This window comes from Homo sapiens, chromosome 9 (genome assembly GCF_000001405.40).
Source record: "Homo sapiens chromosome 9, GRCh38.p14 Primary Assembly".
NCBI lineage: Eukaryota > Metazoa > Chordata > Mammalia > Primates > Hominidae > Homo > Homo sapiens.
Genome location: NC_000009.12, coordinates 131,724,605 through 131,752,148, shown reverse-complemented (window position 1 = coordinate 131,752,148; position 27,544 = coordinate 131,724,605). Strand labels below are relative to the sequence as shown.

At 49.5% G+C, this 27,544-nt stretch overlaps 1 protein-coding gene and 1 pseudogene across 10 annotated transcripts in view, besides 12 other annotated features; both read left to right on the top strand.

Moving 5' to 3' along the window:
* Nucleotides 7,775-7,834: an enhancer, noted in NCBI's record as "active region_29214". NCBI's record gives its function as "activates an Ori minimal core promoter by ATAC-STARR-seq in GM12878 lymphoblastoid cells {active_cell/tissue: GM12878}" and the evidence as "EXISTENCE:reporter gene assay evidence [ECO:0000049][PMID:35858748]".
* Nucleotides 11,850-12,109: a silencer, noted in NCBI's record as "silent region_20425". NCBI's record gives its function as "represses an Ori minimal core promoter by ATAC-STARR-seq in GM12878 lymphoblastoid cells {active_cell/tissue: GM12878}" and the evidence as "EXISTENCE:reporter gene assay evidence [ECO:0000049][PMID:35858748]".
* RAPGEF1 (Rap guanine nucleotide exchange factor 1) overlaps nt 12,073-27,544 on the top strand; it is a 163,302-nt gene continuing 147,830 nt past the window's right edge. For 7 of the 10 annotated variants that reach the window (NM_001377937.1, NM_001377938.1, NM_001304275.2 and 4 more), the window contains exon 1: nt 12,073-12,379. In NM_001377937.1, coding sequence (NP_001364866.1) covers nt 12,319-12,379 — 61 coding nt within the window. In that variant the 5' untranslated portion in view covers nt 12,073-12,318. Of the gene's footprint in view, nt 12,380-14,701; nt 14,745-27,544 lie in introns of those variants that run through there. The other 3 variants (XM_047423252.1, NM_005312.4, XM_017014633.2) reach the window with 1 other exon arrangement.
* Nucleotides 12,260-12,309: a silencer, noted in NCBI's record as "silent region_20424". NCBI's record gives its function as "represses an Ori minimal core promoter by ATAC-STARR-seq in GM12878 lymphoblastoid cells {active_cell/tissue: GM12878}" and the evidence as "EXISTENCE:reporter gene assay evidence [ECO:0000049][PMID:35858748]".
* Nucleotides 12,360-12,689: a silencer, noted in NCBI's record as "silent region_20423". NCBI's record gives its function as "represses an Ori minimal core promoter by ATAC-STARR-seq in GM12878 lymphoblastoid cells {active_cell/tissue: GM12878}" and the evidence as "EXISTENCE:reporter gene assay evidence [ECO:0000049][PMID:35858748]".
* Nucleotides 16,333-16,627: an enhancer, noted in NCBI's record as "tiled region #10210; HepG2 Activating DNase matched - State 5:Enh". NCBI's record gives its function as "activates a minimal TATA promoter and a strong SV40 promoter by Sharpr-MPRA in HepG2 cells {active_cell/tissue: HepG2}" and the evidence as "EXISTENCE:reporter gene assay evidence [ECO:0000049][PMID:27701403]".
* Nucleotides 16,333-16,627: a silencer, noted in NCBI's record as "tiled region #10210; K562 Repressive non-DNase unmatched - State 19:H4K20". NCBI's record gives its function as "represses a minimal TATA promoter and a strong SV40 promoter by Sharpr-MPRA in K562 cells {active_cell/tissue: K562}" and the evidence as "EXISTENCE:reporter gene assay evidence [ECO:0000049][PMID:27701403]".
* Nucleotides 16,924-17,053: an enhancer, noted in NCBI's record as "active region_29213". NCBI's record gives its function as "activates an Ori minimal core promoter by ATAC-STARR-seq in GM12878 lymphoblastoid cells {active_cell/tissue: GM12878}" and the evidence as "EXISTENCE:reporter gene assay evidence [ECO:0000049][PMID:35858748]".
* Nucleotides 18,273-18,567: a silencer, noted in NCBI's record as "tiled region #1247; HepG2 Repressive DNase unmatched - State 8:EnhW, and K562 Repressive non-DNase unmatched - State 8:EnhW". NCBI's record gives its function as "represses a minimal TATA promoter and a strong SV40 promoter by Sharpr-MPRA in HepG2 and K562 cells {active_cell/tissue: HepG2 | K562}" and the evidence as "EXISTENCE:reporter gene assay evidence [ECO:0000049][PMID:27701403]".
* Nucleotides 18,944-18,993: a silencer, noted in NCBI's record as "silent region_20422". NCBI's record gives its function as "represses an Ori minimal core promoter by ATAC-STARR-seq in GM12878 lymphoblastoid cells {active_cell/tissue: GM12878}" and the evidence as "EXISTENCE:reporter gene assay evidence [ECO:0000049][PMID:35858748]".
* Nucleotides 22,242-22,391: an enhancer, noted in NCBI's record as "active region_29212". NCBI's record gives its function as "activates an Ori minimal core promoter by ATAC-STARR-seq in GM12878 lymphoblastoid cells {active_cell/tissue: GM12878}" and the evidence as "EXISTENCE:reporter gene assay evidence [ECO:0000049][PMID:35858748]".
* Nucleotides 22,442-22,821: an enhancer, noted in NCBI's record as "active region_29211". NCBI's record gives its function as "activates an Ori minimal core promoter by ATAC-STARR-seq in GM12878 lymphoblastoid cells {active_cell/tissue: GM12878}" and the evidence as "EXISTENCE:reporter gene assay evidence [ECO:0000049][PMID:35858748]".
* Nucleotides 23,092-23,201: an enhancer, noted in NCBI's record as "active region_29210". NCBI's record gives its function as "activates an Ori minimal core promoter by ATAC-STARR-seq in GM12878 lymphoblastoid cells {active_cell/tissue: GM12878}" and the evidence as "EXISTENCE:reporter gene assay evidence [ECO:0000049][PMID:35858748]".
* On the top strand, nt 26,682-26,981 carry RN7SL328P (RNA, 7SL, cytoplasmic 328, pseudogene; annotated as a pseudogene).

Below are 27,544 nucleotides of genomic sequence, written 5' to 3'. Positions count from 1 at the left end.
GATGCCTCAGCCAGGTGCAGTGGCTTACGCCTGTAATCCCAACACTCTGGGAGGCCTAGGTGGGTGGATCACAAGGTCAGGAGATTGAGACCATCCTGGCTAACATGGTGAAACCCCGTCTCTACTAAAAATACAAAAAATTAGCTGGGCGTGGTGGCAGGTGCCTGTAGTCTGAGCTACTCAGGAGGCTGAGGCAGGAGAATGGCATGAACCAGGGAGGTGGAGCGTGCAGTGAGCCGAGATCATGCCACTGCACTCCACTCCAGTCTGGGTGACAGAGCGAGATGCTGTCTCAAAAAAAAAAAAAAAAAAAGGACGCCTCATGCTGAGAACTGTGGGCCTAGCAGCTGCCACAGGGGGTGTGAGTGGGAGGGGAAGCCTGGGTTTCCAGGGATACTAGACCCCTGAAACACGGATGTCCAAGAAGATACTGTTTTGTTTTGTTTTGTTTTGTTTTGTTTTGTTTTGTTTCTGAGACAGAGTCTTGCTCTGTCACCCAGGCTGGAGTGCAGTGGCGTGATCAGCGCTTACTGCAGCCTTGACCTTCTGTGCTCACGAGACCCTCCTGCCTCAGCTTCCCAAGTAGCTAGGACCACAGGTATGTGCCACTACACTTGGCCAATTTTTAAACTTTGTTGTAGGACGAGATCTCTCCATGTTGCCCAGGTTGGTCTCAAACTGCCGGGCTGAAATGACCCTCCCACTTCAGCCTCCCAAAGTGCTGGGATTACATGGTGAGCCACACCACCCAGCCAGAAGGTACTTTTCTGCTAGCAAGCGCCTTGTCACTCAGCTTGCTAAAAAGACTCAAGATCTTCCTGATCCAAATAGCTCCTGCCCCCGATAAACAAAGAGTGGAGAATTTACGGATCTACTCAACATGTATTCACTCAGCACCTACTATGTACCAGGCCCTGTGCACAGATGTGCATAAGACAGACACTGTCCTTGTGTATCTTATGCTATGCTGGGGGAGATGCTCAACCCAAGAAATTCCAGGCCATGCTCAGTGGATCACGCCTGTAATCCCAGCACTTTGGGAAGCCAAGGCAGGGGGTAACCTGAGGTCAGGAGTTCGAGACACACCTGGCCAACATGGTGAAACCCCGCCTCTACTAAAAATACAAAAATTAGCCGGGCATGGTGGCGCACACCTGTGGTCCCAGCTACCCAAAAGCCCGAGGCAGGAGAATTGCTTGAACCGGGGAGGTAGAGGTTGCAGCGAGCCAAGATCACACCAATGCACTCTAGCCTGGGTGACAGAGTGAGACTCCGTCTCAAAAAAAAAAAAAAAAGAAATTCTAAAATTGACATATAACCAAAAAAGGACACACCTGGATGGTTCCATTATGTCACATTCTAAAAGATGCAAACTCATCTACAGTGACAGAAAACACCGCTGTGGTTGTCTGGGGCTGGTGGTGGAAGAAGGTTTAGGGACCCAGGGGCACAAGGAGACCCTTGGAGGAAAGAAAATGTTCTGCATCTTGACTGACAGCAGTGATTTCATGGGTGTAGACATCCGCCAAAACACATCACGTTGTATACTTTCAATGGATGCTGTTTATTGGGCATGAATTAGACTCTGCTTGATAAAATATTGTTTTGGTTGAGTGATGAGCTGAAGTGATAGGTTTCTCGTTCTTTCTTTTTTCCTCCAATGCTGCTCCTTCTGCATGACATGATAGGTTTCTCAAAGGTTACCTTTAAAGTGAGCCCTACAGGAGGGACCATCGGGACAATGATGGAAGATGGGAAGGTGATGGGGGTGGGCCCAGCACAGAGAGCTCCACTGGTTAAGCATGACCAGGAGGAAGAGCGTGAGCCTCGTGAGGTTGGTGGGAGAGAGGAGACTGAAGACCACCATAGGACTGGGCTCTGTGCTGTGAAGATGGGGAGTATCTGAAAGCTTGTTTTCCCCCCCAAGATGGACTCTCTGTCACCCAGGCTGGAGTGCAGTGGTGCGATCTCAGCTCACTACAACCTCTGCCTCCCAGGTTCAAGCAATTCTCCTGCCTCAGCCTTCCGAGTAGCTGGGATTACAGGTGCATACCACCACACCAGGCTAATTTTTTTTATTTTTAGTAGAGATGGGATTTCACCGTATTGGTCAGGCTGGTCTTGAACTCCTGACCTTATGAACCACCCGCCTTGGCCTCCCAAAGTGCTGGGATTACAGGCGGGAGCCACCGCGCCTGGCCCTGAAGGCATTTTAACCTGGAGAGTGATACCACTGTCGGTTTAGCATGAAGACCCCTCTGGCCACAATTTGGAGAAGAAATTGTGAGAAGAAAGGAGGTGGAGCCCCATTAGGAGTGACTCAGGCAGAAGATCACGAGGCCTGACACCCAAGGAGAGTGGAGGTGGGGCTGGAGGGCAGACCAATGGCTCGAGGTGTTGGTGACAGTGGATCCCAAGCCCAGGCTTCTGAATTGAGTAACCTGTGGAAAGAGGTGACATTTCCTGAGAGAAAACCCTGGAGGAGAACCCCTCCTGGGTTTGAACGATTCTTGTGCCTCGGACTCCCAAGTAGCTGGGACTACAGGCATGAGACACCACACCTGGCTAATTTTTATATTAAATATTTTTAGTAGAGATGGGGTTTCGTCATGTTGGCTAAGCTGGTCTCGAACTCCTGACCTGAAGTGATCTGCCTGCCTCAGCCTCCCAAAGTGCTGGGACTACAGGAGTAAGCCACCACCCCCAGCCCCAAAAAAACTTTTTAAAAAATTAACTGGGTGCGGCAGCACACACCTGTGGTCACAGCTACTCCGGAGGCTGAGATGGGAGGATCGCTTGGGCCCAGGAGTTTAATATAAGTATCCATCAAGAAGAGAATGAGAGGCTGGACGCAGTGGCTCATGCCTGTAATCCCAGCACTTTGGGAGGCCAAGCCAGGCAGATCACTTGAGGTCAGGAGTTTGAGACCAGCCCGGCCAACACAGTGAAACCCCATCTCTACTAAAAATACAAAAATTAGCTGAGCGTGGTGGTGCACGCCTGTAATCCCAACTACTGGGGAGGCTGAGGCAAGAGAACTGCTTGAACCTGGGAGGCAGAGATTGCAGTGAGCTGAGATCACATCCCTGTACTCCAGCCTGGGCGATAGAGTGAGACTTAGTCTCAAAAAAAAAAAAAAAAGCAGAGAATGATCAAATACATTTTTATACATTCATACACTTGAATGACTTAAAATATCCAATAGGCTTATACTTGCTAGCATGAAAGATGTTCAATATATTAATATACTTAATGAAAAATGCAAGTCTTAGATTGCATTGGACAGGATAGGTGAACTGCTATAACAAATCCAGTAAAGCTACATTTCTTTCTGATGTCACAGCCCAAAGTAGGTCCACTGGGAGGGGGCGGCTCTACCCCAGACAGTCATTCAGGGACCTAGGCTCCTTCTATCTCCACACATCATCAAAGCTGAAAGAGAAAGGAAAATGTCAACCATCAGGTGCTGGAGAAATTTATGAGTGGGGCACGGAAGTGGCAATCATTATTTCACCCTCATCTATTGTTCAGAGCACCTGGCCACACCTAACTGGGAGACGAGTCCAGCTGTGTGCCCCAAAAATAGATTTGGTGAGCATTTAGCCAGCCTCTGTCTTGCTAACTGATGTGTACCATTTAAACTCATTCATACAAAACACCATAAATGTGTGCATGGGGCTGGGCACAGCGGCTGACACCTGTAATCCCAGCAGTTTGGAAGGCGGAGGAAAGAAGATCACCTTGAGCCCAGGAGTTTGAGACCAGCCTAGGCAACATAGTGAGACCCCCTCCCTACAAAAAATTAAAAAATCAGCCAGGCATGGTGGCGCACACCTGTAGTCCCACCTACTCAAGAGGCTGAGGTAGGAGGATCGCTTGAGCCTAGAAGGTCAAGGCTGCGGTGAGCCAAGATCACACCACTGCACTCCAGCCTGGGAGACAGAGTAAGACCCTGTCTCAAAGAAAAAAAAAAGCGTACATGGATATATTTTTAATAGAGAAAAATCTGGAAAGATGTACATTAAACTGTTAACTCTTATGAGTGAAAGTGGGACTTCCAGTTTTTATTTTATATATGTGTTTGATTTTATTTTTAATTTTATTTTTAATTTTTATTTTTATTTATTTTTATTTTATTTATTTATTTATTTATTTATTTATTTTGAGACAAAGTCTTGCTCTGTTGCCCAGGCTGGAGTGCAGTGGCGTGATCTCGGCTCACTGCAAGCTCCGCCTGCCAGGTTCACGCCATTCTCCTGCCTCAGCCTCCCAAGTAGCTGGGACTACAGGCGCCTGCCACCACGCCCGGCTAATTTTTTGTATTTTTAGTAGAGATGGGGTTTCACCATGTTAGCCAGGATGGTCTCAATCTCCTGACCTCGTGATCCGCCCGCCTCGGCCTCCCAAAGTGCTGGGATTACAGACATGAGCCACCGCACCCGGCCTGATTTTATTTTTTAAAAAATGAGCACATATTTCCTGTGAGATTTAACAATTTAAAGAATTGTAAAATGATAGTACATTGCTCTTTAGATTTTAAGCAAATGGAGTTTAGAATTCTAGATGTTCACTAGGGGGCAGAAGAGATGTGTGTGTGTGCGTGCGCTTGCTGTTTGCTTGTCACTGTTTACCAGATTACTGGCACAATTTCCCCATTCATCAGGTCATCTGTAAGGTTTACAGACTTGTTTAAGGAAATGACAGCACCCAGGCCTCTCACACTAGTAGACATCAGCTGTGGGCCCAATAATCTCATATTTTCACCAATTTTTGATTACTGTGGTAAAATACACGTTACATAAAATTTGCCATCTGAGTCTTTTTTTTTTTGGTAGAGATGGGATCCCACTATATTGCCCAGGCTGGTCTCGAACTCCTGGGCTCAAAGGATCCTCTTGCCTCAGCCTCCTAAGTAGCTGGGACTACAAGTATGCCATGCCCAGGTTACCTTAGTCTTTTTTTTTTTTTTTTTTTTTTTTTTTTTTTTTTTTTTTTTTTTTGAGACAGAGTCTCGCTCTGTCACCCAGGCTGGAGTGCAGTGGCACGATCTCGGCTCACTGCAAGCTCCGCCTCCCAGGTTCACGCCAGTCTCCTGCCTCAGCCTCCCGAGTAGCTGGGACTACAGGCGCCCGCCACTGCGCCCGGCTAATTTTTTGTATTTTTAGTAGAGACGGGGTTTCACCATGTTAGCCAGAATGGTCTCAATCTCCTGACCTCGTGATCCACCTGCCTCGGCCTCCCAAAGTGCTGGGATTACAGGCATGAGCCACCACGCCCGGCCCACCTTAGTCATTTTTAAGGGTATAGTTATGTAGTATTAAGTGCACTCATGTTGTGCAATCATTACCACCATCCATCTCTAGAACTCTTCATATCTTGTAAGATTGAAAGTCTGTACCTATTAACCAGTCACTCACCATACTCCCATACCCCCAGCCTTGGACAACTACCATATTACTTTCTGTCTCTATGAATTTGACTATTCCATTTTAACCTGATCCTCAAGGCTGTGTGGTTGCCTTATGGGTCATTATCAAAAATGTGTCTGTTTCATACCAGCCTTTGAGTACACAGAGATCTAGAGGTCTTCTAATTGGCCTGAATCCCTACTTGTGAGAAAAAAGGCCAAAACTACCATGAAGCTGATCTGCTGCCTGTTCTGCTGGAGTCAGCCTGAAAGATCCCACATTTAGATAGTGGAGTGATGACCCAGACATCTGTCCTGGCCTTTCTAAGGATCTCTGTGGACATCTCTTCAATATCAAGGACATGGACACCAGAACAGGATTCAGCTGTATGGAGGCCCAAGGCATGGGGGAATGTGGGAGCCTCATATTCTCCGTAACAAATAATGAGCAAAATCTCCATAAAAACATAACATCGTCTGGGCACGGTGGCTCACGCCTGTAATCCCAGCACCCTGGAAGGCCGAGGTGGGTGGATCCCCTGAGGTCAGGAGTTCGAGACCAGCCTGGCCAACATGGTGAAACCCCGTCTCTACTAAAAATACAAAAATTAGCCTGGCATAGTGGCACACCTGTAATCTCAGCTACTTGGAAGGCTGAGGCAGGAGAATCACTTGAACCCGGGAGGTGGAGATTGCAGTGAGTCGAGATTGCACCACTGCACTCCAGGCTGGGCGACAGAGTTAGACTTTGTCTCAAACAAACAAACAAACAAATAAACAAACAAAAAAATGACATAACTGACCCTATTTAAAGTCACTGAAATATTTGCCTTCTCTATTTGGACTTGCCTGATGCTCCAAATTGAAATGAATACCTGCACACTCAGAAAGCATGTTAGGCACCCCCGGCTGGAACATTCCTCACAGCTGGTTTCCTGGAAGAGCTGGTTGAGACTTGAAAGCTCTGCCCCCAAACACCCCTGAAGCTCTTGGAGACCAGCATGTAGATCTTATTTATCTTTGTTTTTCTCATAAGGCCCAGTACTCTAAAGATATACAATCTATGTGGATTGAATTGAACTGAACCCAAGATCAAGCATATATGTAAAACACTGTGGGGAGGAGGTATAAAGAGAAGTTTGAGTAGAGAATTTGTAGCACCATGGTTAAAACACGAGCTCCGAGCGGGCTGACCTGTGTGAGTTCCAGCCCCACCACTTACTAGAAATGTGTCTTCGTGTCTCCCACTAAGCCACATGGAGTTAATACAAGCCATAGAGGATGCAGGGTACACCTATGCTAAGCCCTCCTTTGCTGAGAACTGGACCCACAAGTGTAGCCTCTAGCAGTTGTGTTTGTACCATGTAACCCTGTTGTGAGCCCGATTCTGTCACTGTTCGGGGCGCCACTATGTAACCCGCACCGACCTAGGGCGACTGAACAAAGGGGGCGAACACGGAAATAAAAGGCAAGAGACAAAAGAGTATATTTGGAAGAAGGGGTCAGGGGGCACCTTGCCTCTAGTGGACAAGAGCTCTGAGCTTTACACAGCCCTCTGTATTTATTAGGCAAAAGAGGTAGTGAGAACTGGGGTGGAAGAAGGGGTCAGCTGCTTGGCCCAGAGTAGGCTTGTAAGACTGCATTCCTCGAACAACAGGCTCTAGATGTCGCAGTAGATAGCCTTGGCCCCAGGGAGTGATTGCCTCCAGGAAACCTTCTGTCTGCAAGAGCAGTCGTGAGCTTGTTCACATCTTGCATTCATGATAAACAGTTTGCTGTTTGATCATATAGACTCCAGTGGAATGCTGAGTTGGTCACGCGTCCCTCAGGCCTTCAGCTTCCTACATAACCCCACCCACCTGGCCAGACCCAACTGGGCCAGGGGTGGACCACTGACCCCAGCTGGGCCAATCAGCTCCTCTCTCCTGGAACTTGGGTTTGGATTGAGCATCCTTAGCGGGTCTGGTCTCACGGCTGAGCTGGGGAAGGAAGTGGCCTCGGGATGTGTGGGAAAGTGAGTGATTGTTACGTGCAGTTCAGTTGCTGGCGAGGTATTGAATTTCCTGCCCTTTGGTTCTACCTATGAGACATTCTTTTTTTTTACCAATAGATTCCCCTTTGCCAACATTAAGTAGGTATCTACAACACGTGACCAAACAAACACTCTCTTATCTAGACCCCGCCCTCCCAGGATTCATGTCAGGATTGAGGCAGTGACTGAGCAGTGCCCAGCCACAGGCAGCCCTCAGGAAGCATCAGCCCTCATTCCCATGACTCCTGTTAGTAATGGTTTCACCTCCTCCTCTGATCTACAATGGTGATGTAATGAAGCAATACTCTCTGTCCACAGGGAACGGACAGTGGTGTCTGGGAGTTCAGGCAGGTGCCTGCTAACAGATCCCACCAATCCAAGCTGAGGTGGGCCCCTGGCCACCAGCCTCACTCTGGCTGTTTTCTACCCGAGTCTCGTGGAGTTCCTGTTGTCTGAATAGCTGAGTGTTGTCTGCAAACGCAAGAAGAGGATGTGGCGCTTTTGCAAGGGGCCCCCATCTAAAATAGTCTCTGTGAGCAGGCTCAGAGCCACCTAACTATTTCTTCCATCTTCCACCATGGAGTCTGGAGAGCTGCTAGGGTAGAGTGGTCACCTGGCTCACCCCATCCTTCCCTGGAATGTTGGGAGAAGGCCTGACAGCACCCACCCGAGTGTTGACTGAGCCCCTTCCCTCTGCTGGAGTTGGTGCTGCCGCAGTACAAGAGCCCGGCATGACCCCTTGTCTTAATAGGGCTTTATTTTCTGTTATCTTACAATTTATTTTGTTTTCAGACACAGGTCTCACTCTATTGCCCAGGCTGGAGTGCAGTAGCTATTCATAGGTGTGATCATAGCACCCTACAGGCTTGAACTCCTAGGCTCAAGTGATTCTCTTGCTTCAGCTTCCTGAGATGCTAGGCTGTTCCACAGCCTCTGCTCCCAAGTTTTCTCACAATTGGCACAATTCCTAGGCTGGCCAAGTCACATATTCTACCCCATTCCTGCAGTCATTGGCCTGGGGATAGACGTGTGACTCAAACTGAGCTAATTAGACTCTGCCATGGGGCTCTCTTTGAAACAATGAGGAAAGAGATCCTCTTTGTCCATTGGGGTTGTTAAGCAGGCAGGTGACAGGCCCAGGACTGCTGGTGCCCAGCTTCACCCTTTGCTACCTTGTAGAGAAAGATGACCTGAGAAGGGAACCAACATAGAGGACCAATGGCCTTGTTCCAGAGCCTGGGTTAGCTGCATTTGGACCTAATTGTACACCTGGTTTACTAATTATGATCTTCAAAAAATGCCCTTCTTGCTGTAAGCAATAGCAGAGCTAGGTTTCTGAGAGTGAAATCAAGTTTCCTAATCAGTACAGGAGGATGGCCCTGTTGGGGCGTGTCAGGGAAGCATTCTCCATAGAAGTGACAGTGAAACTAAGAAGCAAAAGATGACTGGGACCAGCCAAGTGGAGAGGAGGGGAGGGAACATTCTAGACAGCAGGAGCAGCTCATGAGAAGGTTCCAAGTCAGCCAGAACTGGGCTTTGGGAATCCGTTTGCTTCATTACCTTGTGTGTGTTCTACTATAGTTATAAACATCTTTGATGAATAGCCTTTATTAAGTAAGTTCTGTGACCCTGATTTACCATAATGTCCATTTGCAAAGTACTTTGTTGTTTGCAAATCTTTTGTCATTGGATATGTCATAATTTATTAAATATATTTGTGTTCTCACAAACCCCTGACTGCACCTAGTATCCATGCAGTCTAGTTTTCTACTTTTCAACCAGGATTTTGGATTTAAAATATCGGCTCTTCTCAGCTCAGAAGCCTAGAAGGGTTGGGGGCAGCATTGAGTGTGTTTTGGGGTTGGGCCTGGGACCAGGGGCCAGTTTTGCCTGGTAAGGCATCTGCCAAGAGGGCTGAACAGGGCCACCCTGGATCAGAGCATCCATTCATCAGGTGGAAGAGGGAAATGAATTTGTCAATCTTTGGATTTGCCTTTGACCTCTAGAGGGCTGCAACTGATGAAATGATGATGGGAAATTTGGCTGCCATCTATGACCATCTCCTTTTTTTTTTTTTTAAAGAGGGAGTCTCGCTCTGTCACCCAGGCTGGAGTGCAGTGGCGCGATCTTGGCTCCCTGCAACCTCTGCCTCCCAGGTTCAAGTGATTCTCGTGCCTCAGCCTCCTGAGTAGCTGGGACTACCAGCGCGCACCACCACGCCCGGCTATTTTTTGTATTTTTAGTAGAGATGGGGTTTCACCATGTTGGCCAGGCTGGTCTCGAACTCCTGAACTCAGGTGATCTACCCACCTCGGCCTCCCAAAGTGCTGGGATTACAGGTGTGAGCCACCACACCCGGCCTGACTAGCTCTTAGTTGTGGAATCGGTGACCCTTTAGACTGTCCAGGGAGATGGGAATAAGAATCTCTCACAACATTAGCAGTTTTTCCTCCTCCCTGCACCTCCCCCAAATCCTGTCCCCATCACTAGGTTATTTAATTTACTTATTTTGGGGGAAACAGGAGGGAAAACTAGCCCAGGTGGTGCGTGCTACTTCTTTGTATTCCATCTTAGACTAACAACAGGAAGCAGGCAGCAGAATTGCCCCACATTGGAACATCACTTGCGTTACTAATTTGTTGTTATTTACTACTTGTATTATAGGATTTAACTTTGACTTCCCAGCTAAGTTGTGAACTCTTTGGAGGGAAGCACCAATTGTGCCCACTTTTGTAGGGCCCACAGAACCCGAAATAGTGCTTAGACTTAGCAGATCCTTTGATTCTTAAATGACTTTTTTTTTCCTTTTTTTTTTTTTTTTTTTTAGCCAGGGTCTTCCTCTGTCACTCAGGCTGGAGTGCAGTGGTGCAATCATGACTCCCTGAAACCTCTGCCTCCAGGGCTCAAGTGATTCTCCCTCATCAGCCTCTCAAGTAACTGGGACTACAGGCAGGTGCCGCCGTGCCTGGCTAATTTTTGTATTTTTAGTAGAGACGGAGTTTCACACATTGCCCAGGCTGGTCTCGAACCCCTGGGCTCAAGTCATCCACCCACCTCAGCCTCCCAAAGTGCTGTGATTGCAGCCGTGAGCCACTGTGCCCAACCACGACTTTTTTTTTTTTTTTGAGACGGAGTCTCGCTCTGGAGCCACCAGGCTGGAGTACAGTGGCATGATCTCGGTTCACTGCAACCTCCATGTCCTGGGTTCAAGAGATTCTCCTGCCTCAGCCTCCCAAGTAGCTGGGACTACAGGCGTGTGCCACCATGCCCACCTAATTTTTGTATTTTTAGTAGAGATGGGGTTTCACCATGTTGGCCAGGATGGTCTCAATCTCTTGACCTCGTGATCCACCTGCCTCGGCCTCCCAAAGTGCTGGGATTACAGGCGTGAGCCACCGTGCCCAGCCACGACTTTTAATGAACTCATTTCCACACTAGAAAAGTTCCACAGCTGAGCCCCAGGGTGCCCTTCTGGATGTCAAATAAGCAGGGCAGGCAGGGTGTGCTGTGTCCCTGAGGGAGTTGGGCCCAGGCCAGCATGGAGGCTCTAGGCCTCAGGGGACATTTAGGCCTGAGTAGGGCCAACCCCAGCCCGGGACAGGTGGCTCTCGCTGGCAGGGTGACTGAGTCCCACATGCAGGGCTGGGGTGGAGAATGAATCCTCCGCCTTGGCATAGACCTTGGGCCAGCAGAGGGCTTTCATGCCAGAGTGGACTCATTCCCCGGCTGGAGCCTCTGGGCTGGCAGGAGGTGCTATGAGGCCACTCCCAGGCCCTGGTGTGGGGTCTCCAATTAAGAAGGGGGTGCGGGCAGGGTGCAGTGGTTCACACCTGTAATCCCAGCACTTTGGGAGGCCAAGGTGGGTGGATCATGAGGTCAGAAGATCGAGACCAGCCTGGCCAACATGGCGAAACCCCGTTTCTACTAAAAATACAAAAATTAGCTGGGCATGGTGGCATGTGCCTGTAATCCCAGCTACTCAGGAGGCTGAGGCAGGAGAATTGCTTGAACCCGGCAGGCAGAGGTTGCAGTGAGTCGAGATCGCGCCACTGCTCTCCAGCCTGGCGACAAAGTGAGACTCGGTCTCAAAAACAAAAAACAAAACAAAAAAGGGGGTGCTGCATCTCTGGTTTGGGGGAGGTCAGGACAGGCTCCCAGCCAGCAGAGCTTGTTGAGTCCTGGTGAGAGTGAGTTCTAGGCCCTGGTGTGGAGCCTCTGGCCCACAGGGGATGCTGGGTCCGGGATGATGCTAGGGTGGGGTGGGCGTCAGTTCCACGTCCTGGGGTGGAAAATCTGACCCAGGAGGGTTCTCTGTGTCTCTGGTGAGGGGGCAGGCCAGGCTCTTGGGCAACCGAGGACCCTGGGTTGGAGCTGTCAGTCCCAGGTCTGGAGCTGGTGACTCTGGTCCCACAGCAGAGGAATGCGGAGTCCCAGGCGGGGTCGGCCCCACACCCCAGGCCCCAGGCCCCGGCGTGGGGACTCCGGCTCGGCAGGGGGCGCTGCGTCTCGCGCGTCGCGCGGGAGGCTCGGGCGGCTCCGGGCCCACAGGGGGCGCTGTGGCGGCGCGGCGGGCGCCCGGCAGGTGGCGCTGTGGCCGTGGCCGCGGCCGAGGCCCGGCGGGCGGGCGGGCGGCGTCGCTGCGCTGCGGCCGGCTCGCGGGCCGGGGGAGCGGCGGCGGGCGCGCGGGAGGCGGAGCGGCGGCGGCGGGCGCGGCGGGAGCGGCTGGGCCCGGGCGGGCTGGAGCGCGGTCGCCGAGCGCAGGGCCGCGGCCGCGCGGAGCCCGCCATGCCGGCGCGGGTCTGAGGCGTGGCGAGCCAGGGCCGAGGCGAGCGGCGGGCGCGCCGCCCCTGTCGCCCCGCGGCGGCCCGGCCCGGGCCCGATGAGCGGCGGCCTCGGCCTCCGGCGCAGCCCGGAAATGTCCGGCAAGATCGAGAAAGCAGGTGAGGCGCGGGCGTGGGGCGGCTCCCTCCGGCCGGGCCCGGCCCTGGGGCTCCGCCGCTCCCCGGGCCGAGCGCGGGTCGCCCGGGATGTGCGGCCCTCCGTGCGCCGGGGCGGGGTGAAGCCACCGAGGCCTCGCCGGGGCGCCTGGCAGCTTCTCCTCCAGGCCCATTGCCTGCCGGGCGCGGGGGGAAGCGGCCGCTGCGGGGGCGCCAGGGGCCGGGCCGGGCGGGGCCCCTGCAACCCGGGGCCGGGCGCGCTAGCCGCTCCGCGGTCCCCGGGAACTTCCGAAAATGGCTCGAGCCCCAAGCAGGGGAAGAACAGCCCGGGCCGCGTGCTGCTGCGGCTGCAGCGATCGGTGCCCGGCCTGGGCTCGGCGCTAGGAGGGTGAACCCAGCTGAGCTGTAAAATGTGTCATTTCTAACGAGCTTCGAGTTTAACGAGAAGCGTCCACTTCGGTTGCTTCAAAGGAAGCAGGCTGGATGAGTGGGGGTATTTTGAGGAGGTAGTCAAGTTTCCCCTCCCCACCCCGATCAAGCTCAGCTCTGCAAGGAGGGCAGGTGGGGGACCGGTGGGTTGGAGTAGATGGTAAATCTTGATGCAGACCTCGTCTCTTTGTGTGTTCCTAGAAATCTGGGGGAGTTACCTTCCGAGTCCCTGGGTTTGCCTGTCCTGGAAATAGAGTCTCCAAAGATTCAATGACTGTCGAGCCTGTGGGGCCCCAGGCTTTATTAGCCTGCAGCACCTTGCAGGGCAAATGCGAATTCTTGGGTCTAAGGTGAAGTGGGCGGGTGCTCCTGGGCTCCTGTACTGGGAGCATGCCCTGTGGTCATAACCCCGGTAGCAGGTTAGCTTGGCGGCTGAATGAGGGAAAGCAGATTTTTAGGGAGCTGCAAAGGAGGTCTGTGGCTTTGATTGTGGAAGTTGCTTATGTTTCCTGGGTTGAATCTGGGATACTTCTGTGGGGTGCACCCCTGCAGCGGACCCACAAGGCAATATGACTTTTGCAGGCTGTGGTTGAAGCACAGAAGGACATTTTTGTAGGCTTTATTGAGGGTTTACTATATATCTAACTCTTAGCACCTAAAATGCATTGCTTCTTAAATTTTTGAAGCTAGTCTGTGGGAAAGAATATGGTCCCAGTTTTACAGGCTCAGAGAGGTTCAGTGAGTTCCGGCTGTCCAGACAGCAAGAGGGCGGCAGGCCCCTAGTATATTCATTCCTGGCCCTCTGACCAGAAGCCAGGGTGCTTTTCTCAGGGGCAGGGCGCTTGGGTTCAGGTGCCATTTCTTGAGTATTTTTCTCACTGAATTTGAGCCCCCACAGCCTTGCCGAGTGACCATGAGTCGCCATCCTGTACACCTGCTGCTCCAGAAATAACTTGGGTTCATCTGTGCAGCATTTCTCAGGAACTTCTTGTATAGTGTCTTGTCAGAACGGTACTGTTGGGAAACTTGGATAATTTATTTTAAAAAGAACATTCACTGAGTTCTTTTATAAGAACTTTATAATATATAAGATTATATTATATCTTTTTATATCTAATATAAGATTATATTATGTTTTATATCTTTATAATATAAGAATATTCTATGTTCATTGTCAAAACTTGGAAATCACAGAAAAGTAAAATGAACCGGATTGGAAATCATCTGTCAGCCAGGTACAGTGGCTCACGCCTGTAATCCCTGCATTTTGGAAGGCCAAGGCAGGAGGATCACTTGAGCCCAGGAGTTTGAAACAAGCCTGGGCAAAATGGCGAGACCTCATTGCTACTTTAAAAAAAATTTTTTTTTTTTTTTTTGAGACGGAGTCTTGCTCTGTTGCCCAGGCTGGAGTGCAGTGGTGCGATCTCGGCTCACTGCAAGCTCCGCCTCCTCCTGGGTTCACGCCATTCTCCTGCCTCAGCCTCCCGAGTAGCTGGGACTGCAGGCGCCTGCCACCACGCCTGGCAAATTTTTTTGTATTTTTAGTAGAGACAGGGTTTCACCGTGTTAGCCAATATGGTCTCGATCTCCTGACCTCGTGATCCGCCCACCTCGGCCTCCCAAAGTGTTGGGATTACATGCGTGAGCCACCGCGCTGGGCCTCTTTTTTTAAAAAAAGGAAAAAGTTGCCTGTCATCCCATGAGCTGCCCAAACCGCTGGGAATGAAATGACTCTTCATTTGAGTTCTCTGCTATTTGGGAGAAAGACCTGAGGCCAGTTCATTTCAGCATAGTTTGTCCTTGGGCCTTTTCTGGGCACCGCCTTCTGCTAGGGGGTTGTAGATGAAAGTGCCTGCTCCCAGAGAAGCTTGTCTAACCTAGCACAGTTTCTAAGCTACCCAGGCTGCCAGACCGAGCGACCGTGCTGCCATGGACACAGGTGAGAGAGGGGTGTCATGAGTGCGGGAATGAGGAAGACACTGGAGGGGACAGTGTTTGTGCTAGGCTCTGAAGAGAGGGCTGAGATATATACCTGGTGGAGACAGGGAGAAAGAGGAGAGAGGGGAAGGGGCTGACCAGGAGCTGCGGAAAGTGTGGGAGGAAGATGCATTTTGTGAGAAGCAGAAAAAGTAAGAGTTCTGAGATTGGCAAGACCAGGGTCAGGACCTCGCCTGCAGATTGGGGATTGCAGATGTGGAGCTGGCTGGAAGTCCAGCCTCCTTGCAGAAGGTCTTTTGCTGCAGTTCATAGGAATCATAGTGAAAGATTACAACTGCCAAGGAAGACTGGGGCGCGCCTGGAGTGAGGATGACCTTTCCTGGTGGTCTCTGCTGGCTATTCTCAGTGAACTTCCCTTTGCATTTAGACGACATTTTGTTAGATTTCTGTTGGAGTTTTTTTAATGGACTTCCCACTATTCAGTCTCCAGAGGAGTATTTGATTCAGAGGAGAGGCCCTTAGGTGAAGTGGTGGCAGAGCCTGACACCAGGCAAACAATTGTTGTGATTGGAGTTTTGCTGTTTTGTTATCTCAAAGCAACAGAAACGTTGCTTAAATATGTTCATAATCTCCTCTCCCTGAAAGTAGAAGAACCAGCGTTTTTAGTTCTCAGTGCTTAAGGCATCCAGGGTTTTTTGGGTAAACAGGAAACCCCTTCACATCCCGCATAGTGTGCAGCTCTGGCCTGTTCCTCATCCCGCCCCCTTGCATTGCCTGATACCTCCTTGGTGTGCAGGACTCTCCTTAACCCCTGGGGGAGATCTTTTGAGTCATTGCTGTTCTTTGGGACATTTTCTTTCTCATGCAGCAGTGCCTGGCTGGGGCAGGGCCTTGAGGGGTTCATCCATACCTATGTATATCCTCAGAGAATACACAAGGTCATAGGCCTCACATTTGGGGGTCCCAAGTGCCATGGGGAATCAAGACAGTCTGGGCCAGAGGGTGGCACAGGGACAACTTGCTGGGCTGGTGGGGGCCTGTCAAGTGAGGCCTGGTGGAGAAAGGTTGAATTTGGAGGGCCAGGAACAAGCTGGGATGCAGGGGAGGCTTTCTAAACTCTACAGTGCTTCTAGAGATGACGAGGAGGTAGGGAGTAGAAGAGAGCTGGACAGATTAGGGAGCTCCCAGGGTGAGCTTGTGGGCAGGCCTGCAGAGGAGAAGAGGCTCTTCCCTAGGAGCTCAGAGGGATTTGTTCTGGAAGACTGATGGGAGATGTATGCAGCTGTTTAGAGGCTGCTTTGGAGAACAAATGAACATGGTTCTGGTTGTGCAAGCAGTTACTGTGGTTCTTTTTGCTCATATATCTTCCAATAAAGACATTGAGCGAGGAGAGTTGATACCGTCATGTTTTTGGAGCTTAAGCACAGACTGGCAGCTGCGGGCTGGATTCAGTCCACAGATATGTTGGGTTGGATCCGCACGTGTTCTTGAGGAAAAAAACAAAAGAATTGATGGTCAATATTGAAAAATCAGGAAGTCACTCAAAAATCTCAAAAGCCTGGTTCCTGATTTCCTTGAAAAATGAGAATCTCTGGTAACTCTGAGCGCTTGTTCCTGCCTACAAGGCAGCTATGGGCAGGAGTCAGGTGGCGGACACTCCCACAGAGCCCCTCACCACTCCCACAGCCAGCCACACCTCCGACGGCCCACTTGGACTTTTGACATTTGCGTTTGCATCCCCTCCTCGGAGAAATGATTCATGTTTGTTTGTTTTTGTCTGGACTTTGAAACCTTTGCCCCATCCCTTCATTGACTCATTACTCCATCCCTCATTCATCAGGGATTGAGCACCGGCTCCATCAGGCTCCGTACAAGGCTCTGGGGACTCAGTGGTGAACTCAGCAGATGTCGTGCTGCCTGCCCTGAATACAGGCATCCTCTGTGTGTCACAGGGTGAGCAGGAAGGTGGCAAGAGATCAGACTTGCAGTGGGGAGGGATGGTCAGGAAACTCCTGTGCTCCTGTGACAAAATGGGACTTAAGGTGAGAGGCGGAGGATGGGTCCACTTAGCTGGGCACAGGCAGTGGGGTAGGGGACCAGTCTCCTGGGGTGGGAGCAGACCAAGGCCTCCTCAGCTGAAGGGAAGAAGGTCCTTGGACTGCATGTGTCAGTTTCAGTCACTCATTCCTTTCTTCCCTCCTTCAGTGGCTTCACTCATCGCCTGCCTCACGGAGCAACCTCCTGAGGGCCTGGAGTTGTTCTTGTTCTTGGGACACAGCAAAGATCCCGGCCTCCTGGGCCATACCTTCTAACTGGGCTGGCCATAAGTTAAGCAGTTTTGTATGTATGTTTTTAAAGTCCCTTTCCTTCCTCTCTGTGCTCCCAGCGAACCACAGGCTGGCTGGGAGTTTCATCATTTACCAGACCCTCCTGCCAGCGCTGTAGCTCCTGTCACCTTGGAGCAGTTCACTGGGCCTGCTAAAGTGGCCACAGGCTTGCCCAGCACGCTGCCTGAAGATGGAATAAATAGGTGTCTCACGCTCAGTGTGCTACGGTTTCAAATGTGTGAAGATGCTTTTATTGTAAATCGAAAAGAAATTTATAATGACTGCATTTCATGGTCACATTTTTGTCATGATATATTTTCTCAGAACAGATACTAAGAGTACAGGCCCTATGATGTAGGGCTACTCATTTTTGTGGCCTGAGAAAGAGGTCCTCTTAGATTGGCAGTCATTGTATTTCGATCAATTTTAAACTCGTCAAATTTGTACTTCCTTTTTCCTCCATAGTTAGGAATTTTTGTCGTCAAAGTATACTCAGTCAAGCAATGAGACATTTTGATGGCACCTGCTCTGCCTCCTTTCACTCACCCGTTTTAACACTTACTGAGTGCCTCCTTGTTGGCAAACACCAAGTGATGCCTCGTGGCAGGGAGCCAGCAGGAACCTGTCCCTGGAGGCCACAGTCCAGGGGTAGAATCAGAACGATCTTGAACATCTCTGCAATTTCCTGTGGTTTTCAGAATGCATTTATAGACTACCTCATTTCATTTCATCCTCACAACAGCCCAGGGGGTGAGGGCAGGGCGGAGTATCCCTCTTTTGCCCCTCAGGGCAGCTAAGGCCCAGGGAAATTTGGTTGTTTGCCCAAGGTCATGCCCTGGAGAAGTGGAATGGGGAACCGGCCCCCTTTCTTGCCTTTATAGAGCACTGGTTAGAGCCTCCCTGGTTGCTGGGGACACAGCTTTCCATCTTAATTCTTCAGGCTTCTCAATCTCTTTTCTGATCTTTGAAAAAAAAGATCTACCAATGAAATTAAGGGAGGCTCACTACAGTCTTTAGACTGCGTCTGATACTCGTAATACTAGTCACATTAACAGTGCTGTAGAGAGATAAGAAATAGCACTAATGCCAGCTAAGTGTGTTTTTAGAAAAATCAACCACAGCAACCCCAAATGTTTCCTGGTCTCCAGAGCAGCTGTTGGCAGAGGCGGTTTGAATGGGATTCCTTGTAGCCAAGAGACCTTATAGGAGGTCTGTAGAGATGAGTCATGTGTGAGCTTGCAGAAAAATGTCTCCCAAAGTAGCCCGGATTGGAGATTGCCTTGAGTGCCAGGCTGGGTCTTACCTCAGGCCAGCTGAGCGTGTTCCCCATGGCCAGGATAAGATCACGCTCTGGAAAGAGGAGAGGCCTGACAACCCACCGCCTGCCCCACCCCGCGGCCGCCTCGCCGCCGGGACAGGTGTTCCTCTGACTCGTCACCCGTCTTGCCCCAAAGGCTGTTTTATGAGTAAATAAATAAAACCCACCGTTTGTGAATTATTAAGGGATCTGTCATCCAGCAGGCCAGTCATCTTAGTTTCTGGTCATCTGTTTGAGAACATCTTAGTTGTGTCCTTGGGTGATTCTTACCCTTTCCTGGGGCTTATTTTCCCCATCAGTGCCAGGAAGGAGTGGGACTCAAAAGGAGCGCTCCTCTGTTTGTGTTTTTAAGCTGTAGCCACTGCCCCCGCCAACCCCGCACCACCCCCCCCCCCGCCCCCGCCCCGGCTTTTTTAAATTTTAAGTTCTGGAATACATGTGCTGAACGTTCAGGTTTGTTACATAGGTATACATGTGCCGTGGCGGTTTGCTGCACCTATCAACCCGTCATCTAGGTTTGAAGCCCCGCATGCGTGACTGCAGGCCCTTTTTTATACATAAGAAGGCCATTAGGTAACCACTAATGGGGAAGCCTCTTTGAATGCAGTCCTTCCTGCTTAGCTGTGGCCGAGGCTCCTCCTTGGACCCTCCACCCCAAACACAATGTGAAAACCCACTTCCTCGATGCTCTCACAGCTGCCTCTACCAAAATCAACTTCCTCTGGGCTCTTTGTGCCTTCTCTTCCTCTAACATATAGTAAATTCCATGGAAATGCCCCAGATCAATGCTTGAGTAGAATGATGTTTCACTCATTCAAAATCAAAGCCCCAGTTTCCTTTCTGCAAGTTAAAAAATCAACAAGTGAAATGTTAAACAGATGATTAGCTCCGTGAGGGAGTGTGTCTACCACTGCGGTGCCATTACGGTGCCTTGAACGCAATAGGTGCTCAGTAAATACTTACTAAAAGAATGAGTGAATTTAGTTAATATTATCATAGAATGAATTTTAGTTTCTGGTTCCAAGTCTCAAATTATCTTTAGACGTAGCTTATTGTGGTTTCAAATTGCCAATTAGGATGTTTCTTGGTACATTAGTAGGACCAATATCTGATCAGTGGTGTGCAGTTAGTTGGGGGTTCTGTGTTTTCCTGTAGTCCTCTGAACACTAATGATGAGGTTAGGATCAAATTCCCAGAACACCACTGGGAGAACGCCAGGACACCGTGAAGGCTGAGCCGCCACTCGGTTCTGATGCCGCATCCATTGGTCAGTGCACGTTCTTTGAGCTTCCACTTGAGTGCACGTTCTTTGAGCTTCCACTTGAGTGCATGTTCTTTGAGCTTCCACTTGTAGTGACTGCCTGGTTCTTTGGGATGTGCAGGAGCAAAGCGCTCTTAGGTAATGCTCGTTCTGCCCTGTGTTTACAAACCAAGGCCTGTGCCAGCTCTACTCAGCCTGACACCCATAATGAGCACCATCCCAGGAATCCCTGTCCCTACTTGTTATTTTTTTTTTTTTCAGTTGGCCTTTGAATGTGATTTAGGACTGGCTTCCTGCAGCATTACTCTCTTTTCCCAGGATGACTGTGCAGCGTGTGCTGTCTAGGGCTGGGGTGCAGGCTGTTGGTGTGCCTCTGGCACCCCCTTCCTTCTTTGTCAAGAGGCATGGGCAGTATTTTCTTGCTACTTCCCCCTCCTCTGTGAGCTAAGGTACAGGGGGGGAGGTTCATCTGAATTTATTAGAAATCTGCTGTCTGCTGGTCACAATTCCTTTCTCCCACTTTCTTCTCCCAGGCTGTAGTTTGAAAGACAGGTGACAATTCTCTGAACCCAAGTCCCACCCTGCAGTCTGGACTGCTGCTTCCCGGAACACCACGACTCCTGTAACAGCTTAGACTTCTGTCCCCACAGTCCCTTAGCAGCAGCTTTCTCTTTGCTTTTCACTGGCTTGCCCAAACCACACAGTGACTTTACTGCATATTAAGTTTTGTGATCAGGCGATTCTGCAGTGCTTTTAAAGCGTAGAAATGGAGCACTGAGCACAGGATGCTGTGTGGTTTGCCCAGGGCTGGGTTCAGAGGGGCGGATTTCAGGCATTTGCTCTATAGCTTTTAAAATTTGTGCCACTGATGTGGACCTGACAGATGCGATTCCCAGCCACACACTGTATTGTTAAAAACGGAGCAGGAGTGTGACACTGACAGTAACTGAGAGAAGGAAGGACATGGAATGAGAAGAGAGGACAGCTGACATCCAGTGGAATGTGACCGTGTTAAATAGCCACTTAGCTGACCCCAAACGAGCAAACAAACAAAACCCCTGGTTGGAAACAGTGGTTGTATTTATTTGCTGGTTATCACATGCGCCCATCCTCCTTCAAGTGATGGTTCTGAATAAATAGATGGATGATTGTTCATGAGTCATGGAATTGGCTACTCTCAACCCCTCCTTTCAATAATAAATACAAATAATAGTAGTAGCTGATGTTCATTAGGCACTTACCACGTGCTGTACCAGGCTCGCTTCTGTATATTTTACACTTGTGGTTGCATTTAATCCTTACAATAGGAGAAAGGTACTGTTAACTGTTCTCATCCTACAGAGGAGGAGACTAAGACACAGAGCTTTTCTTTGAGACCTGAAAGAGTTAACATTTGCACATAGTCATATACTGAGTTGGGGCAAAGTTAGGACTAAAGCCCATCTGACTATTCCCCATGCATCTATATTTTTATTGATTCTGATATTATTCTCTTGGCTGTGTGACTTGGGTGAAAATGAGCCTTCATGTTTCCAGGGACCCCTCTGCCACAGAGGCAGCTGCTGCACTAACAGGACACCCCATCATCCTGAGGATTCCTTCAGAAGACAGCTCTCCTCCTGACTGTCCTGCTGGAGCTCACAGGGGGCTGCGGAAGCCTTGCTTCTGGCTGGGTGACCGTGGGCAAATTGCTTAATCTCCTGAGCCTCAGGTGCCTTTGTTGTAATTTGGTAGGGTGGATAAACCCACCCCGGAGCCCTTTCTAATGCTGGTTCTTCTTCTTTTTTTTTTTTTTTTTTTTTGAGATGGAGTCTCACTCTGCTGTTGCCCAGGCTGGAGTGCAATGGGGTGATCTCGGCTCACTGCAACCTCCCCCTCCCAGGTTCAAGCAATTCTTCTGCCTCAGCCTCCCAAGTAGCTGGGATGACAGGCGCCCGCCACCACGCCCGGCTAATTTTTGTATTTTTAGTAGAGATGGGGTTTCACCATGTTGACCAGGCTGGTCTCTTTGGCCAGGCTGGTCTTGAACTCCTGACCTTGTGATCCGCCGCCTCAGCCTCCCAAAGTGCTGGGATTACAGGTGTGAGCCACCTCCCAGCCTAAGGCTGGTTCTTTGGGAGTCTAGACTGCAGTATGTGGGGTGGACTTATTGAGGCTTGTTTTGTTGATGATTTTTAATGGCAGTAAATGTTGGATAGCACTTAACTAATCATCAAAATAGCTTTTGAAACATTTTTGTACACATTAGTTTCTTTGTTGTTTTGGGCTTTGTTAATTTGTTTCTTTTTTTTTTTTTTTTTTTTTTTGAGAGGGAGTCTCGCTCTGTTGCCCAGGCTGGGGTGCAGTGATGCAGTCTCGGCTCACTGCAAGCTCCACCTCCCGGGTTCACGCCATTCTCCTGCCTCAGCCTCCTGAGTAGCTGGGACTACAGGTGCCCACCACTTCGCCTGGCTAATTTTTTGTATTTTTAGTAGAAACGGGGTTTCACCATGTTAGCCAGGATGGTCTCGATCTCCTGACCTCGTGATCTGCCCGCCTCGGCCTCCCAAAGTGCTGGGATTACAGGCGTGAGCCACTGCGCCCAGCCAATTTGTTTCTTATCATAAGTATGGAGTTGCCCAAGATTTTTCCCAGATGAGGATGATGGCAGCTCACATTTATTATTTCCTGTGTGCCGGGAACGATGCTAGGAGCTTTACCTTCAGACGTGTGTGTGTGATTTAATTAATTCTGTTCTTATAAAGAGTCAGCAATGGCAGGTATTGTGCCCATTTGACAGTTGAGGAAAGGGAGGCAGCAAGAGGGAAGTGACTCGCCAGGGGTGGGTTGTGTATTGCTGAGAACTGGAGTTTCACTTCTCTCCCCTTCCTGGGGTCTAGGGCTGACTTGCCGGCACCACCACTGCCTTGGGTTGGAATGTACTCTGGGGTTCCCCCGGGGCTTTCCAGCCTCTCTGTAGGACTGTTAAGGTGGCACCACATCTGCCTACAGATTTATGAAGAAGCCCCTGGTTTCTCCATTATTGAAGTGGCTTAAAAAGTACATTTGCTGAAAATATTGCATGAGAATCTGCTTTGGAGAAACCTTTCACAGATGGCACAACGGTAGGAAGTGGCCCTTACGAGTTAAAGTAGTTCCACCCACCCACCCACCCAACACTGGCTGTCACTGAGTGTCAAGCAGCCTGCCAGGGGAGGAGAGGGTACTGAGAGGGCTGAGGCGTCAGTGCCCTTGGGGAACTGACAGTCAGCCACCACCTGCGTTGTGTACAGGAGACTTTTGATCTTGGCTCTCACACCCTCATCCGTGTTAGAGGCAGCATGAGCCTGAGCTGAGAGGTGGGAGACCTGCCTCATGGCCCCTGGGCCTGCACTGATGCACTGGATCAGTGCCCCTCCCCAACCCTGTCTTTCCATCTGTGCAGTGAGCCAGTACAGAACAGTGTCTGAGAGCATGTGCTTCAGGTCCTCTAGCTGTGGCTTTAGATACCAGCCCTCCTGTGTCATTGTTGTGGGATCTTGGGCATGTCACTCTGTCTTGTCTAACTCTCAGTTTTTCCTTATCTGTAAAATGGGGAAAATCCTAACAGTACCTACCTTATGGTATTGAGGGAGAATTAAACGAGATGATGTACATAAGCATTTAATCAGAGTCTGGACACATAAGAAGTGCTCGATAAATCTTAGCTTTTGTTCTTACTTCAGGTCGCCTTCTACTCTAAAGTGACCATTTCTTTAAAAATGGTAATCTGGTAACTAAAATTCAAACCTCAGCACTCACAGAGAAGGGGAGGTCCCTGACTATTGAGGTATTTCCTTTTAGGCTGGTTTGTTCTTTCTCTTTCTCTCTCTAAGAAAGCTGAAGTCCAGGGAGTAGGTTTTTACAATTAAGTAATAAACTTTTGAAGTGATCACTCGTAGGAAGAGTAGAGGGCAATTCATTTCAGCTACACATATCCCAGTGCATGCAGGCAGACCAGGAGGCCCTGATTTTAATTTGAGTCTGTCTGGAAGGAATGGGCCTGTGCTTGCAGGCTGTGGTATATGTCAGAGCCACAGCAGGGCTGATACACCAACAGGTATATTTTTTGCCCTGTCTCAAGGGACACCTCCCCAGTTTCTCCTTGCGGGGTGACTTTCGGGGATTAATTAAATCATCTTCGTTCAGCTCTGGAGGTGAAATGATCACAGAGTGTTGCATTTGTGACAGTTAAAAACCACAAGACATTCAAGGTCCTCGTGTACAAAGTAACTTACAAGTTGCATTGAGCACTGCAAGAAGGGGGATTTCATACCCTTTATTTTTCTTTCTTGATTAACTTTCACAGTAAAGATAAATTCAGAAATGCTGTTTTGGTGTTCTGAGTCTTCCTTAACCCCTGCTCCACTGGGAATTTCGGGTATGTGAAAGTAAATGTGTGTAGTCTCCTTGCAAATTTGTCAGTGCAGCTAGCATGAAGCACAGTGCTATTTGCAGAGAGACCAAAGCCCAGTCAACCCTTTTCACTTTCTGTAATCATTTGGTCCTGGAGCTACAGAACCTCTCAATTAGCATAACCACACTAATTTGTGCTTCTGCCTCAGCTTGTCAAGAGTGCCTTGCAAATATTAATTCTCTGAGCTCATCAGAAGACCAAAGGCATAGATCAAAAGCATGCTTTTCTGCATGATCTGTCCTTGTTTTTTTTCTGTTCATGAGGAGCTTTCTCTATTAATTACCCTAAATATGCAAGGTTGTAGAATGAAGCTTTTATATTTGACAAGTAAGAATTGGGCTAGGGACCTGGATTACAGGGACTCGGGCTAGGGACTGCCTGTGCTGCAGGGGTGCGGAGTTCCCTGGCCTCAGCTTGGCAGGAGAAATGCACGTACTGCTGAGGAAATTCTGTAGGCTAAAGTCATGGGGAGCGTGTGAGTCATGATCACCAGAAATGCCTGGACCTGTGGCATCTTTGGGTGATGAAGAGGGAACCAGCTTAGCACTGCCACAGACACACCATGTCCTCTGGGGCAAGCCAGGATTCCTTCCTGGGCCTCTGAACCCCACTCTATAATTGGAGGGCCTTGAACTGGAACAGAGGTTCCTGAGCTTTTTAAGATCATAGGTCTCCCAGGAGTCTGATGGAAACTCTGTGGACCTTGTCCCCAGGGAGAAAGATTCATTATGTGTGGACATGTTTCTGCCAAGCCGTAAATTCCCACTACTATATGATAAGTGAGAATTCGCAAATACCCGGGGTCTTGGAAAGATCAAATAGAATTTTTGTTGTCTGAAACAATCAGGACTTAGTTCAGTCAGGTCTGAGCCCTAGTAACAGTAATTATGCATTCCCAGAATTTGGTAAGGATTTTGTGAAATGGGGCTTGTAAGCTGCTGGGTGGAATACCTGCATGGATAAAAGGGGGAACCTTCCCCTTATGGGTGAGGTTTAAAAAAAAATTATGTATAGTAAAATTGATGTTTTGGGGATATACAGTTGTATTTTTTGTTTTTCATTTGTGATGGGGTCACACTGTCACCCAGGCTAGAGTGCAGTGGTACCATCGTGGCTCACAGCAGCCTCGACCTCCTGAGCTCAAGGAGTCTTTCAATTTCAGCCTCTTGAGTAGCTGGGACTACAGGTGCGTACCACCACACCCTTTTCATTTAAAAAAATTTTTTTTGTAGAGACAGGTTTCCCTATGTTTGCCAGGCTAGTGGGGTATAAAGTTTTGTGCGTTTTAACACGTGTAGATTTGCATAACCACTACCACATTCAGAATACAGGCCAATTCCATCACCCTGAGTGAAAAAGCCTTCTTGCCGCCCCTTTGCAGTCATACCCTTCTCCCACCCTGGCAGCATGGATCTGCTTCCTTTCTTTTTTTTTTTCTTGAGACAGAGTCTCGCTCTGTCCCCCAGGCTGGAGTGCAGCAGTGCCGTCTCAGCTCACTGCAACCTCTGCCTCCTGGGCTCAGGTGATTCTCCTGCTTCAGCCTCCCAAGTAGCTGGGATTATAGGCATCCACCACCGCGTCCGGCTAATTTTTGTATTTTTAGTAGAGACGGGTTTCACCACATTGGCCAGGATGGTCTCGAATGCATGGCCTCAAGTGATCTGCCCGCCTCAGCCTCCCAAAGTGGTGAGATTACAGGTGTGAGCCACTGTGCCCGGCCAGCATTGATCTGTTTTTTATCTATACCTATAGATTTGCATTTTCCAGAATACCGTGTAAGTACAACCATAAAGTGTGTAATCGGCCTTTTACTCTGTACTGACTTTGAGACTCGTCAAGTTGTCCTTTTTATCACTGGTTCATTCCTTTTTATTGCTGAGTAGTATTCTATTGCATTGACATAATAACTGCTTATCTGCGTGAGAATTTGACCTTGGCTGACTATCTGTCTGTTTGCTAGAAATAGACAAAGATGGCACAGGACCAACAAAAAACAACCCAATTTTGGCCGGGTGCAGTGGCTCACACCTGTAATCCCAGCACTTTGGGAGGCTGAGGCGGGTGAATCACGAGGTCAGGAGATTGAGACCATCCTGGCTAACATGGTGAAACCCCGTCTCTACTAAAAAATACAAAAAATTAGCTGGGCATGGTGGCACGCGCCTGTAGTCCCAGCTACTCGGGAGGCTGAGGCAGGAGAATGGCATGAACCTGGGAGGTGGAGCTTGCAGTGAGCCGAGATCACGCCACTGCACTCCAGCCTGGGTGACAGAGCAAGACTCCGTCTCAAAAAAAAAAAAAAAACACAACCCAATTTTTAAATGGGCAAAGGGCTTGAATAGGCATTTCTCCAAAGGAGATATACAAATGGCTAATAAACACATCAAAATGTGCTCAACATCACTGATCATTAGGGAAGTGCAAATCAAAACTACAAACAGAGCTGGGTGCAGTGGTGCGTGCCTGTAGTCCCAGCTACTCAGAAGGCTGAAGTGGGAGGATTGCTTTAGCCCGCAAGGTCAAGACTGCAGTGAGCTCTGATAGCGCTGCTGCGCTCTGGCCTGGGTGACAGAGTGAGACCCCGAAAAAGAAAATTAGCTGAGCATGGTGGTGTGCGCCTGTAGTCCCAGCTACTCAGGGACTAAGGAGGGGACTGAAGCAGGGGGATTGCTTGAGCCCAGGAGTTCTGGGCTGTAGTGCACCATGCCTACCTGGTGTCTGTACTAAGTTCAGCATCAATATGTTAACCTCTGGGACTACCACGTTGCTTAACAAGGGGTGAACTGGCACAGAGTAGAAGTGGAGCAGGTCAAAACTCCTGTGCTGATCAGCCCTGGGATCACACCTGTGAACAGCCACTGCACTACAGCCTGGGCAAAATAGTGAGACCCCCATCTCATTCATTCATACATACATATATATACGTACATACATACATACCTAAGTACATACCTACCTACCACAGGGAGATACCAGCTCACACCCATGAGGATGGCTGTTTTCAAAAACTCAGAAAATAGAGCTTGCAGATAGCTGAACAGGTAGCACAGCTGGGGAGGATGTGGAGGCTCCGTGCCCCTTCTCACAGGCCCTGCCCAGTGCAGCTCTTCATCTGTGTCCTTTGTAATATCCTTTATGATAAATGGGTAAGCACAAGGCAGATGGAATTAACAGACTGTGGCTGCTGTTTTTAAACAGGGTTTGCCAATATCTGTGTGTCTCTTGGGAGGATGAGGCCGTCTTTCTGCAACAAGGGAGAACAGAATCACAAGATCTTTAGGGGGGACCTTGACATTTCCTGTGGCAGATTTCAGTATTGCTGGTCAGAACTCATTTCATCCATCAGAGTTGCTGTAGGCTTTCTTTCTAAGTTCCTTAATCATCTTTAGCCTTCCTTGGATTTACCAGGCCGTGGATGCTGAAAATAACAATCCTGGTGTTTCAGGACAGGAGTGGACTT